A 13,326-nucleotide genomic window follows, 5' to 3' on the forward strand; every position below is an offset into this window, starting at 1 on the left:
ATGGTGACCAATAGGCACTAGATATTACCACTCCCATCTAATGTAAGTTTTAATCTAGAAAACAGAAGGCAAAACATTCAGGGTACTGAATAAGACATTCCCTCAGGTTCTAAACTATGGCCTCTTACTGTATACATAGAGATGGTTTTTTTAATCCAGAGAAGTTATTTTCCATCATCAAGTGTCCCAGGCTGAGATGGGAGGCTCTTGGGGAAGGGGGGCAGGCACAGCAGGTCTACAAAATACACACCTGCCCAGCCTCATAATTAAAAAGAAGTCACCATTAGAGAACACAGATTTGTTTGAAGTTCACGGGAGCTTTACCAATACAAATTAGTTTCTCCCAGTATTTCAAGCAATTATCACTTTTAAAGTCTAGTGGGGGAAAGGTGTGAAAGGGAAAGTAATGAGGATTTGTATTAGAACTGTTCTCTTCAGCAAGAGCACGAAGCCTCCAGTAGGAGGGGAGATGCAGAAGAATGGCAGGTGGCATTGTTGGCAAACAGTTTTCCAAGTAGAAAATTAACATTCTCCAAACAATACTTAACTGTTAAATGTTTCTGCCTTTCCTATTTTGAGTACAGCAGCAGGGGTCACTAAGTATTATAAACCATTTCCTTATAGAGCATGTTTTCACTTTCTAAAATTAACAAGTTTCACTATTCTTGTTTCTCTGAAGTCAGAATTTTTCTCAAACATGATACATTGCAGGCATTTACTATCTCTACAACTTAATAGCCTTACTACGCCCCTAGTGAAACTACTGCTTGTCTGTTGCCTAGAAGGTTGCTAATAGGATGATTGCAATTGTCTTTGAGATTGAATTTTTATGGATATTTTAAAGCAAAAAAACACAATGGAGCTTTTTTCCCCACTAAAGAGACAGACATATCAATGTTCTTTCTTTCTTTACTCTCCTAAGAATGGTATCACTGCTTCTCTCAGGAAATCACCACAGCTGATCTGTGCCCCACCCCCTGCAATGGGCACATCATGCGGGTCTCCTAGGTATGCGACAAGACTGACAGACCTGGCCTCAAACCTCGACCCTGCTCCCTTCCATCATCCTCGTTGAGTGACTTAACCGCTGCTTCCTCAGCTGTAAAATGAAGATAATATCCACCTTACAGTTTTGTAGTAAGAATTACAGAAAATATGCAGAATTCACAGCCCTTCATGGCTGCTTAGTAAGCACACTGCAATCTTTCCTATTATTTCAAACTTTGAGTAGGTCCTAGAACCATAATATCTCTGAAATCTGTCCAGACTCTAGGTTACAACTCATTTTATGGCATTTCAATGAAGATGAACACTTACTAAATTGGATGAAAGATAGGTAAACTAGTATATAGAAAGATGACCTAACAATTGGGTAAAATTGGATCAGTAATTTTCTCTAAGTTCTTCCAAGGCAAAATATAGTGCTAATCAATAACTACCCCCAATATTTCCATAGGATACACCAAATGAAAGAACACATAATGAAAAGGAAGAAAGAATTATTCATGTTAATGATGCAAACAGAGCCCCTGTAAGGACAAATGAAGAAATGCAAGATGTGCCCAGGTGGTTGTGACAGTCTCTGCCTTCCTTCCATTCCCACTGGCTTTTTTCCTGAATGTATCTAAAGCTGTGATGACTGCACAAGAGATGCATTATTATCCTGATTCTCAGCACATTGGCCTGTAGCTAATCTTTGAAAGCACCACCTGCTGAGTGTACCTGGGGACCCAGCCAATGAACTGCATCATTGACTAAGTCACCTTCCAGCAACCAGGCCATCTTGCAGGCCACACAACTCCTGCCTGAAGGGAGGAAAGGAGGGGAAAACAGGAGATGCCTGCAAAAAGTGATTCTTTATCTTTTGTAGCCACCATATATATTTCCAGCCCTAACTGTCATTTATTACCATTTACCTTATTTAATCAGAGGAGGAAGAGTAAAGAAAAAATGAGGTAGAGGGAGGCAAGAAAGGTGCTGGCATACAGGCCAGGCGTGGTGGCTCACGCCTGTAATCCTAGCACTTTGGGAGGCCAAGGCAGGTGAATTGCTTGAGCTCAGGAGTTCGAAACCAGCCTGGGCAACATGGCGAAACTCTGTCTCTACAAAAAAATACAAAAAAATTAGCAGGGCATGGTGGTGCACCCTTCCAGTCCAGCTACTCAGAAGGTTGAGGTGGGCGATCACCTAAGCTTGGGAGCTCCAGTGAGCTGTGATTGCGCCACTGTACTCTAGCCTGGGTGACAGACTGAGAACCTGTCTCAGGTTAAAAAGTAAAAGTACTGACATACAAAAAAAGTGGCAGCAGGATTTAGGTCCTAGTCTTATGGTGGACTATTGACACTGTATCTTCTCATCTGTGAAATCGACCCTGCCCTAATTCCCCTACAAGGCTCAGCAGCTAGTGATCTGAGTATGCAAAGAGCTCGGCTGTTGGAAACAGGCAAAAAACAGTGGTAATGACCTGTTGGGAGTTCAATGGTGCTAGGATGTTGGGAGGTCAGGCATTGATACACACTGTGTGGCTGCTGGGGCATTAGAAGCTTCCATCTCTGGAACCCTGTCCTATGAGCTTATGATGGTTTTCGTGTGGTCAGATGAAGGCTGTGAGGTCTCTGCTTCTGTAAGCAGAGGTCCAAGGACCAAAGCCAATACAAATAGCTCCTAGGCTTGAGAGTCAGTTTTTCGCTGCATGCCCCATGCCTGGGGTAGAGTGTTCTGATCCTGGTTTCTCCAGGCAATGAGAAAAATGTCCCTTGCAATGCCATTCAGGACTGTGTGATGGCCAGTCCCACCCACCCATGGGCACACAGCCATGAGGCAGTAAGAGGATGACGCCTGAAGCCAGACTGCCAGGGGCTGAATCTCAACTCTGACACTTATTGTACAACCTTGGGCATGTTACTTATTCTTTCTGTGCCTTGATTTTTCCTCATTGGAAAATAAGGATCATGATGACAGTACCTATTTCATAGGGTTGTTAAGGATTAAGTGAGCTGCTATTAGTTAAGTTCTTAGAATGATTTCTGGCTCGTAATGATATATAAGTATGTTTGTTAACTAGATAAAATGTAAAGATAAATCAGCATCAGCTGCACAGTAAACAAATGTCATTACCTGCAAGTGGGATTAGTACAAATAGTTTCACATAATTAGTATATGCTCCTGATTTTAATCCTATACCCTTGTAGAGAAACAGCCTTCTCAGAAAAGGCAGAGTCAAACCAGAGTCTAACTCTACAAAGTAAAATATTATCTGTCTCTAAGACATCCCCCAGCTACCCATTAAGTACACCATTAGACAATGTCATCAAAGCACTGTCAGAAACCACCCTGTTGGAGGAAAAACAACATTAGAATGGCAGAAGCCCAGGAATGGAAGCCTGATGCTGCCACATCTCTGAGCTGTGGAATGCTATCCGAGGTGAGATGTTCTTATAGTGAAACAGACAGGGTGTGTTTTTTAATTAATACAATGATGGAAACCATTCTCTTTGTTTAGTGCCATACAGTTCACTAAAGAGGAAGAAATACATTTTGCCAGTAAATCTATTCAGATTTTTCAATCTGGAAATCAGAAAGAAAGCTACATGGAACCAGATAGCATTTTGAGAACGGCAGAAAAAAGGTAGAAGAGCTCCAGAGCACTAGTTGCTGCCAGGGGCATGTGTCAGGGAGGAGAGCCAGCTGAGTTTGGGTGGGGGAAGTGCAGATCTCCGCAGCTGTGTTACAGGGGAGAAGGGAACACCTACTGAACGACTGTCTTTTGACAAGTCCTGAAACAAACCCACACACAAAGAAATTGTTGTGGGGGTGGGAGGGAAACGGGGACCAAAGTTAGGGAGTACCCACCCTGCCACAAGCCCACTGCCTGTACAGTCAGGCTCACCTAAAACATCCTGTTTTTGCCGCAGATCACAGCACCCTAAACCCAAGTCTGCATCTAGTGCTGTCAAAATACCAAAACATACAACAACTACAAATCTGCTCTTCGAAGAATTCAACAGGACCTCCCTGGCACTCCTTCAAATGGGAGGATGGGCAAATGCAAAACAGCAGTAATGTGTTGGGAGGGTGGGACCATGGATAAATTGCAGGTATGCATGTCGAGAGAAAAGTAAGAGAGGCAAGGAGGATGAAGCACTATGTGGCTATTTCTACTACTCAGCTACCCACTGTCACAAGTGCTTAGAATAATCATTTTGAATAAAAGAAAAGACGGATCCAATTGAAAGTTGCTTTGTTCTGCTTTCAGCTGTAAAAGATTTAGTTCTAGACCCTAAACTCATTTAAAAAACCACTATATGAAGACAAAGAATAAAAAATAAACACATAAGTTTAAAGCAATCTGGAGTTTTTTTTAAGGCAAGTATGTTATAGAAAATTCAAGAAGTTATGATTACTCAAAAATTTTGAGCTATTTATTAACATTTATCAAAAGCTATTCTTTTCATTGCAGAAAATCAGCATATTTAAGTCAGTAGTTACAGTCATACTCTGTGACTGTAATAGGCCAGTTATTTAGCATTTAGGCAAACAAACATAAAGGAAAAGTGTCCTTCAGAGATTTTCTCTCTTCTTTATTGTTAACCCACTTGGTAAGCAAACTAATTTAAAAAGTATTATCAGAGTCAAGTAAAGGAATCTGTAACAAGAAGCCAGGGAGGAGGACCAAGCTTGGCCTAAACGATAAAGGGTTTGTAAAAGCACTTTGTATGCAAAGAATCATATATATGATGATAATGATCATCATCATCACAGTCAAAACAGCAGGATAAGAAATGTCAACTAGGCCCTTCCAGAAAGTGGTTATTGCAGAAACAACACACAAGCATCTTATGTTAACAAGAAAAGGTCAAAATGAGGAAAACAGCAAAGCCATGGTGAAAAGGTAAGCAGTTTGGGGAAACAGCCCCAAGTGATGTGAAAACAAGAGTGTTTTCTAGATGTGGACGTTTAAGTGTGGTGCATATGAGCAGACAAACTCTGCGAGCTAAAGATATGGGACTTAATGTCTGAGGAGATAACACGAAAATACTGTGAGCAGCAGCCAAAGAGCAAGGAAAACACCTTGCCTTCTGGAAAAGGGTTTAAAGAGAGAGCCTTAGGACTTCCGTCAGGGGCTATCAGGTTACATCACGTTGAAGTGTATGTGCAATGTCTGAGAGAACTACCCTTCCTTGTTATAAATGGAACAGCCGGCTTCCTCTGTGAACAGAAACTCCAGAGACCACTGCCCTGCATTTGCCCAGGATGGAATTATCCCGAGCAGCACTTATGGGGCTCGAGGAGGGCAGGGAGCTGCTGCCTAAAAGGAACGGAATGGGATGGGATGGGACAGGAGGAGACGAGCATCCGAATTGTGCTCCCACTGGCCTGCTGTGGACAACCTAAATCCAGGAGGCTAAATTTAAAGAAGCAATTTATAATCCATTTTAGGTTGTAAGGCTTCAAATAAAGATCTATGTCCACATATAATTCCATGCGCACACCTATACTATCTGTTAGGGACAAAAAGTATCTACTGACAATGCAAGTATCCAAATTTATATATTGGAAATGAGCTATCCAAATAGATCAGAGATCAATAGACACAACTGAATGAATATGAGGGCAAGAACAGTAGTAGTAAGTAGAAACAGTGGTGAGACTTGATCAAGAGAAGTTACTCAGATATAATTCGGTTTAATACTGGGAAGCTACCCGCTCTCTCAGTGGCTATGGTGAGTCCATGTCATTCTTCTGCTATGTAACCTTGAGAAAATTTCTTTTTAAGTGTTAATTTTAAGATGGTTCACATTATTGGTCTTGCTAAATACAAGTGTGCTAATAACCCAAGAATTGGTAACTCTGAGCTCTATCTCAAAAATAAATAGTAGCTGATGCCACAGAATAGATAATTGCTATCAAAACAGTAGGATGAAGCTGAGTCCTAATCAGACTGGAAGAGGTTAAAGAGAGAAAGAATAAGATAGTTGTGTAGCTGCTGCTGTAGAAATAGATAAGACTAACCTCTCTCTGCTTCTGGCATTTACAGCATGAGAAAAAAGAATCTGTAATGGAAAATGTTGAAAGATACACTGAAGCTTTTCAAAACATCAGAGCAGTGAGACCTTGAAATTCATTTACTTCAATCCTTGCATTTTACCAATAAGGAAACTGAGGCCCAGAGAGGTTAAAAGGTCTGCCTATAATGTAACACATACACACACACACACACACACACACACACACACACACACACGGCTGTAAGGCAGGCCTGCGGTCTGAAGGCTGCAGTGCCCCTTCCTCTTTACTGCTTTCTTCCCTCTACTGAGGAGCAGTTATGGAAAGCTATTTTTGTAGAGACAATTGAGGTCCCTGACAATGACAGAAGGAAAATAAATGGTGGTTTCAATTCCAAGTTAAGCTATAGGCTCACTGCTGTGCTCCCGCCCAGGCAAGATTTTGACTCTGAGGTAAAATAAGAGAGTCAAATCTGATCAAGGTAGCTGTGTGGGAGTTGGCTTGGAACTCAAACAGTGAAAAGGGCAGGGGGACATGAGCTGGACTCAGCTGACAGGAAAGAGAAACAGTAAGCAAGAAAAAAGGGTGCAGGCCAGGCACAGTGGCTCACACCTGTAATCCCAGCACTTTGGGAGGCCGAGGTGAGAGGACTGCTTGAACCCAGGAGTTCAAGACCAGCCTGGGCAACACGGTGAAACTCCATCTCTACAAAAAAATAGAAAAGTTAGCTGGGCGTGGTGGCACATGCCTGTGGTCCCAGCTACTTGACAGGCTGGGGTGGGAGGACTGCTTGCGCCCAGGAGGTAGAGGCTGCAGCAAGCTGTGATTGCACCACTGTACCCCAACCTAGGCAACAGAGCAAGACTGTCTCAAACAAAAAGAAGGGACCAAAGAGCCCTCCGAGTCCACTTCTGAACCACACTAGAGTACAGTACACCCCAATTAACCCTCATGATGGCCACACACATAAAATCCAACTTGAGAGCTGTTTGCCCTGAGGGCTGTCAAGAGTCTTACTTCAGGGCAAAGTGGAACAGTATGTGGTGGGAGCCTGGATTCTGGGGCCTGGTGAACCTGGGTGTGAATCTTGGCTTTGCTTCTCACTGGCTGTGTGCCCTGTGTGTTTTCACATCCCTGTCTCTCAGTTTCCTGTAAGGTAAGGATAATAGGATCTGCTTCAGCAAGTTGTGGAGAGGATTCAATAAGTTAGTATTAGAGTGCCAAGAACAGTGCTGGGCACATCATAAGCACTGTGTAAGTGCCCACAAGTAAAGAGACTGGTCACATTCTATAGCTTCAAGCCCACAAGATGCCAAAGGTGGCAACGTGTGACACAGAGTGCCCTCACTGTGAGACATCACTGTACACAATTCACATTCACACATCCTCTTTTCTGTGAAGAGGTTAGCCTTTTCATCTGATAAGCAATTAAGGTTCTTTCTTTGATTTTATTTCTTTTGTTTCTCCTCATTAGAATCAACCCATGTAAAACATTTAGAAAATCTAAACAAAAATTACCTAATACTGCCACCCAGAAAAAAACTTAGAGATAAATTTCTTCCTAATTTTTCTCCATTATACCTTCACATATAAACATTTTTTAAAAAAAACCCTGATATTATTTTATAATCTAATTTACTCGACATGTTGTAAATATTTTACCGTGATTAAATATTTTAACAGAATTTTTAATGGTTGCACGGTTTAACTATAGTGTAATTTACCACTTGTTAGCATCTTTATGACAAGATTCAACCTCCACCTTTCTATTCCCACCATTTGCACATCCCAAAAGAAAATGAAAGCATAACAAAGCTTTTGACAGCCACCCCCAAACAGGTGTTCTTCAGTAACTTTCTTCCCAGCTGGGCTACGCCACAGTGCTCAGAAAATGGCTCCTAGAAAAGCCTCTCCATTTGAGCTACAGCTTCTGCAGTACAAGGTTCTGTAAGGGCAGCTCTTGCAGCCGGCTGAGTGTCACCACTCCAGGAATGTCTGACCTTTCCCAGGGCTTTGATCAAACGACCTCCTGCTGAGCAGAACTGGCCAGAGAGAAGCTTTGCGGGGAGGGGGAGGAAGAGCAGGGAGGGGATCAGGGTGGGCGTGAAGGGTCCCAGCAATGGGCAGCTCGCCAGCCTCTGCAGGGTGACTGGAAAGGTCTGACTGGAAGAATCTTAGAGATCACCTCCCAAGTCCCCATTTTAGAGATAAGAAAACCAAGGCTCAGGAAGATAACAGGACTTAATTAGCACTTGTGAAATATAACTTAATATTAGCAGTGATAACAGCCACAATTACTATTACTAGCATTTGGGGCAGTCATTATGAGCCAAGTACTATGCTAAATAAATGTTCAGTCCCAATGACTACTCTGTGAGATTGCTATCATTATTTCCATTTTAGGGAGTAGGGAGTGGGGAGTGACGAGGCTTAGACTAAATGAGTTGCATAAGATCCCACAGCTAACAAGTAGTAGAGGTAGGAGTCAAATCCAGATCTTTCACCAAAGTCCATGATCCTTTTAAGCATACCACAAGAACAAATAATTATTTTTATTTCCATTGCATTGTTTTCTAAAAGATGAGCTTATTAATACTTACTGCTAACTTGGAAGGTGGCAAAGAATTCATGCTTTCATCTCTAGTCATCTTTTCACAAATCTACATTTCTGCATTTGCTAAACAGTGACATAAAAATACTCAACAGATCGATTTGTCAACAGTCAAGTTCCATACATTTTATACAAAAATGATTTTGAGTGCGAAACTTAGGCTTAATGCGAACTGTGAATTGTCATGCTATAGTTAAACTAACATGAAGGTAAAAGACTGCATAAAACACTATACACCCAATGAATGACATGTGAAAAGACATTACTTCTAAATATCTATGTAAGGCCACCTCAGGTTTAGAAAGGCCTTAGGCCAGGGACTCTCCCAAGTACATAATTACAATGCTTCTCTTAGATGATTGTCAGGTAGAAGACAGAGATTTCAAATAGTTTGTTTACCTATTTTTTTTAAAGGCTCTTTCTCAGTATGACTCATGTGAACAATTTAAACAAACAGCTGTGGCAGGAGATGGCCACTGCAGCCTGCTCGAGTAGGTAAAATGTACTGAACCTGTGTGGTTAATTAGATCAATCTTGACTCATTTTCTTTAATGAGACAGTATAACACACAACGTCCACCAGACCTGTTTTCTGGGTTTTGTTTTACATAATTTGTTGTTACGGTCTAATCTATTCTTGAGCTTCTTTTTGGTTAAAGCACCAACTTTCTAACTATTTTTTTTTCAAACAAAGATTTTTTTGTGTATATTCAACATCATGCATCCTTGTGAGGGAACTATACCGCACAGTACATGATTTGTGATGAAATACAGTCAAGCAACTTACACCAAAGAAAAACACATGAAAATAAGATTTTTTAAAAAACATTTTTTTTCAATTTCTTTGCCTTTCAAGCAGGTCAGCTATACAGATTATAAGTGTAGAACTGAAAGCTAACTCCCACATACGAGATAAAAGTTCAACATCAGGTGATGGAAAATCACATATTGAGGAGAAAAGTCAGTCCTTGGGTTCTAAATCATTTGTCTTTGTTTTCTGTTAAAATGGGGAAATTTTCTATCTTTTTTCCTTTCATTTAGAATAGATAATTTCTATTCCTGATCACCTTTAAATGCACACACTGAGGTTTTGTTTTCACTGACTAAACCCTAGGGATATGACTAATTCTCATCATAAATTTTCATTCAAGAAATTTCTGAGTCCATATTACATATTGAACCTAATAATAGAGTTCAGATTTATGATGCTCAAAATGTCATGTAAGAGTATTATGGTAATGTACAAAATGAAATACTGAGAATCACCACACTTTTCAGGAAGTCCCACTGTAAGGCAAAAGATTAAAATAAAAAACCCTCAATAAAAGGTGTGAAGGTCTTTGCCAGTTTCAGGATGTGGCCTGTTTGGGAGTATGTTGAATGATCTGCCCCATCACGATAGCCTTCATTACAAAAAGAAACACATATGTACCTGTGCATTTGGTAGCCTCAAGTCTTTCCTATAAGGCGGCCTAAAAGTTTGACTTAGTAAACTGGTGGTTCTCCAACTTTTGGTTTCAGCATCCATTTATAATCTTGAAAATTACTGAGGACACCCAGGGAGCTTTTGTTTATATGGATTATATCTATCAATATTTATCATATTGGAAACTGAAACTGAGAAAATTAAAAAATATTTATTAATTTGCTTAAAAAACAATCTGTTTAAATTGTTACATGTGAACATAAATATTTTTATAGGAAGTTGTACCATTATATGTGTATATTTTATATATGTGTGTGTGTGTGTGTGTGTGTGTGTGTGTGTGTGTGTATGTATGTATATATTTAAAAGAAGGGTCTCACTCTGACACCCAGGCTGGAGTGCAGTGGTGTGATCACGGCTCAATGTAGCCTTGAACTCCTGGGCTCAAGGAACCCTCCTGCCTCAACCTCCCAAGAAGCTGGGACTACAGGTATGTGCCACCACCCCCAGATAATTCTTTATATTTTGTAGAGATGGGGTCTCGCTTTGTTGCCCAGGCTGGTCTCAAACTCCTGGACTCAAGCAGTCCTCCTGCCTCAGCCTCCCAAAGTACTAGGATTATGTGCATGAGCTACTGTGTCCAGCCACCATTTTATGTTTTTGAAAACCTCTTTAACATCTGGCTTAATAGAAGACAACTAAATTTTCATGTCTGCTTCTGCATAAAATTTGCTGTGAAGTATATGTAGAAATTCTAGCCTCACACAGATATATAACTGGAAAGGAAAGAATTATTTTAATAGCTTTTTAAGATAATTATGAATATTCTTCTTTGATACAATGGACAAAGCAGTAATTTTTTAAAGGTCAGCTGCAATGTGGAATCTGAAACCATCAGTGAACTTTTCCTACTCTGTTACATTGAAATCCATTAATCTATCAAAGTCCTACACTTTGAATCTCTCATCCACATGTGATTTTGCAACAAACACTGATCATCTGAAAAATGTTGGGTTACTGAGTCATGTAGATTTTCCCAATGTTTACCTGTTTCATTATATAATACCACAATCACATTTGTCAATATCACCACTGAACTCATCAGAAGAGACATTAAAGGATAGGAAAGCTGTCAAGCTTATGTTGCGGAATACAAGATTTCCAAAATTCTAATTTGTATTTGAAAGCTTGAATTTTGTACTTGATAACTGTTTTCCTTAAAACAATAGGCTCATTTCACTTACTTTTGATAACCAAGTCTACCAAATAACCAAGTCTGAAGAGCCACAGCTGACCTGTCAATCATTCTGCAAAGTAAAAACTCAATCATACTGGTGTTTTCGAGACAACCATGGCACTTTGCCACATTGTAAAAGTGCTTTATATGTACTTCCCATCTCATCACTAGAATATTAAAAAGACACATGTGCTTAAGGGCCTAGGTTTAACAAAATTAATAACTTCTACTGCTTTATTAAGTGACACTAGCATTTTTTAACTGAGAGTCCATGGTGATGAATATAGTAACTAAAGAACTTCTACTACAGTTGGTGCCAGGCCATGATTTGTGCTAAGTGATGAGCAGTTTTCCCAGCATTGTTTTCATACAAGTGCAAATGTCTACACAGTGAAAATGGCAAAAAATAACAGTATTATTGTGAAAAGAGTTTTGATCTCATGGACCCCCTAAAAATGTCTCAGGGACCCCAGAGGTACAGACACTACACTCTGAGAATCTACCTACTAAACCAATGCTGCTGCTACTGATATACTCAACAAAAGGAGCTGAATTTTTTAACTCTTGAGGAAAAATACAGATACCAATGCACAAGCCAATTACACCTCAGTATTTCGGGCATTACAGAGTTGTCACTTTCATGTTCTTACTTGCTAGACCAGTTATTGCCAATAACTTGGATAACATTTTCTGGCCAAGATCTTAAAAAACTCACACCTAACAATGTCAATGAGCACTCTCCAAAAATACAGGGGCCAAAGGACTGCTAGCAGCAAAGGCCACTAGTCCCTGCCTGCACTGTGCTACAATCATTCTTCATGCCTCATTCATTCTCTTTGATCCACCACATTTTTACTGCACCTTTTAGTCTTTATTTGCTGGTATAACTACTTAATGCCATAACTTTCCTCTAAGTACCTGTTGGCTGCACATCACTGGTTTTGATATGTAAACTTTTTATTACCATTCAGTCCTGAAATCTTTTCTTTGACCTTTGAAGAGTTTTCCTTATTGATAAATAAGGGTTTTTCTAGTTGTTTCCTTCTAAATTAATGGTTTTCTGAGCAGAGAATATGGTCTGTGTCACAACTAATCCTTTGAAGTTTTTTAACACACTATTCATGGCCCAATATTTTATATTCTAGAGTTGTTGGATATAGCAGCTCATATAACCCATTTGATCAATCTTAATGGTTGTTCAAATCTTTTATAGCCTATTTACTTTTTTAAGGTGGTAGGGGGCTCCTGCTGATTTACTAACTACTGATAGAGATAAGTTGAAATCTCTTACTAGAAAGTAGATTTGTCTTTGTGGTTCTGGTCCATTTTTCCTTTATAGATCTTAAAGTTACATTATTATATGCATAATGATTCAGAATTATATCTTCCTTTATCTGTTATTATCATAGTTCCATCAGCTTATTCTGGGTTGATCATGGCGTATTTTTTTCATACCTTTCATAATTTTCCTTTTGGTCTCTATAATTCTGCATAATTTCTTCAGATCCCTCGTTTCATTAATTTAGTCAGGTCTAATCTGCTGTTACCACCCATTCATTTTTGTTTTTGTTTTTGAGACAGAGTCTCACTTTGTCACCCAGGCTGGAGTGCAGTGGTTCACTGCAGCCTCACTGCAGCCTCGACCTCTTGGGCTCAAGTGATCCTTCTACCTCAGCCTCTTGAGTAGCTGGGACTACAAGCGTGCACCACCATGCCCAGCTAATTTATTTTTATTTTTATTTTTTGTAGACATGGGGTCCCACTATGTTGCCCAGGCTGGTCTCGAAATCCTGGACTCAAGCAATCCTCCGACCTTGGCCTCCTAAAGTGCTGAGAATAAAGGTGTGAGCCACCATGCCCAGCCAATAATTCTATTTTCTAAAGCTGCACTGCCCAATGGAATAGTCATCAGCTATGTAGCTATTTAACTTAATATTAAATAAAAGTAAATATTCAGTTTCTCAGTTACACTAATTAAGTGCTCAACAGTCACATGCATGTAGTAACTACCATGTTGGATAACACTTACGACAACACAGATTTAAAG

The 13,326-nt window shown here is 40.0% G+C and overlaps 1 protein-coding gene across 11 annotated transcripts in view, besides 4 other annotated features; it reads right to left on the reverse strand.

The window, feature by feature from the left end:
- The window catches only part of LEF1 (lymphoid enhancer binding factor 1), a 121,385-nt gene that overhangs the window by 62,095 nt on the left and 45,964 nt on the right, over window positions 1-13,326 (reverse strand). The window lies entirely within an intron of this gene.
- Window positions 6,977-7,136: an enhancer, noted in NCBI's record as "active region_21794". NCBI's record gives its function as "activates an Ori minimal core promoter by ATAC-STARR-seq in GM12878 lymphoblastoid cells {active_cell/tissue: GM12878}" and the evidence as "EXISTENCE:reporter gene assay evidence [ECO:0000049][PMID:35858748]".
- Window positions 7,327-7,396: a silencer, noted in NCBI's record as "silent region_15615". NCBI's record gives its function as "represses an Ori minimal core promoter by ATAC-STARR-seq in GM12878 lymphoblastoid cells {active_cell/tissue: GM12878}" and the evidence as "EXISTENCE:reporter gene assay evidence [ECO:0000049][PMID:35858748]".
- Window positions 7,731-8,240: an enhancer, noted in NCBI's record as "NANOG hESC enhancer chr4:109038529-109039038 (GRCh37/hg19 assembly coordinates)". NCBI's record gives its function as "activates a minimal SCP1, AML or CMV promoter by ChIP-STARR-seq in primed H9 embryonic stem cells {active_cell/tissue: H9 hESC(primed)}" and the evidence as "EXISTENCE:reporter gene assay evidence [ECO:0000049][PMID:30033119]".
- Window positions 8,808-9,087: an enhancer, noted in NCBI's record as "active region_21795". NCBI's record gives its function as "activates an Ori minimal core promoter by ATAC-STARR-seq in GM12878 lymphoblastoid cells {active_cell/tissue: GM12878}" and the evidence as "EXISTENCE:reporter gene assay evidence [ECO:0000049][PMID:35858748]".

This window comes from Homo sapiens, chromosome 4, assembly GCF_000001405.40.
Source record: "Homo sapiens chromosome 4, GRCh38.p14 Primary Assembly".
Lineage (NCBI taxonomy): Eukaryota > Metazoa > Chordata > Mammalia > Primates > Hominidae > Homo > Homo sapiens.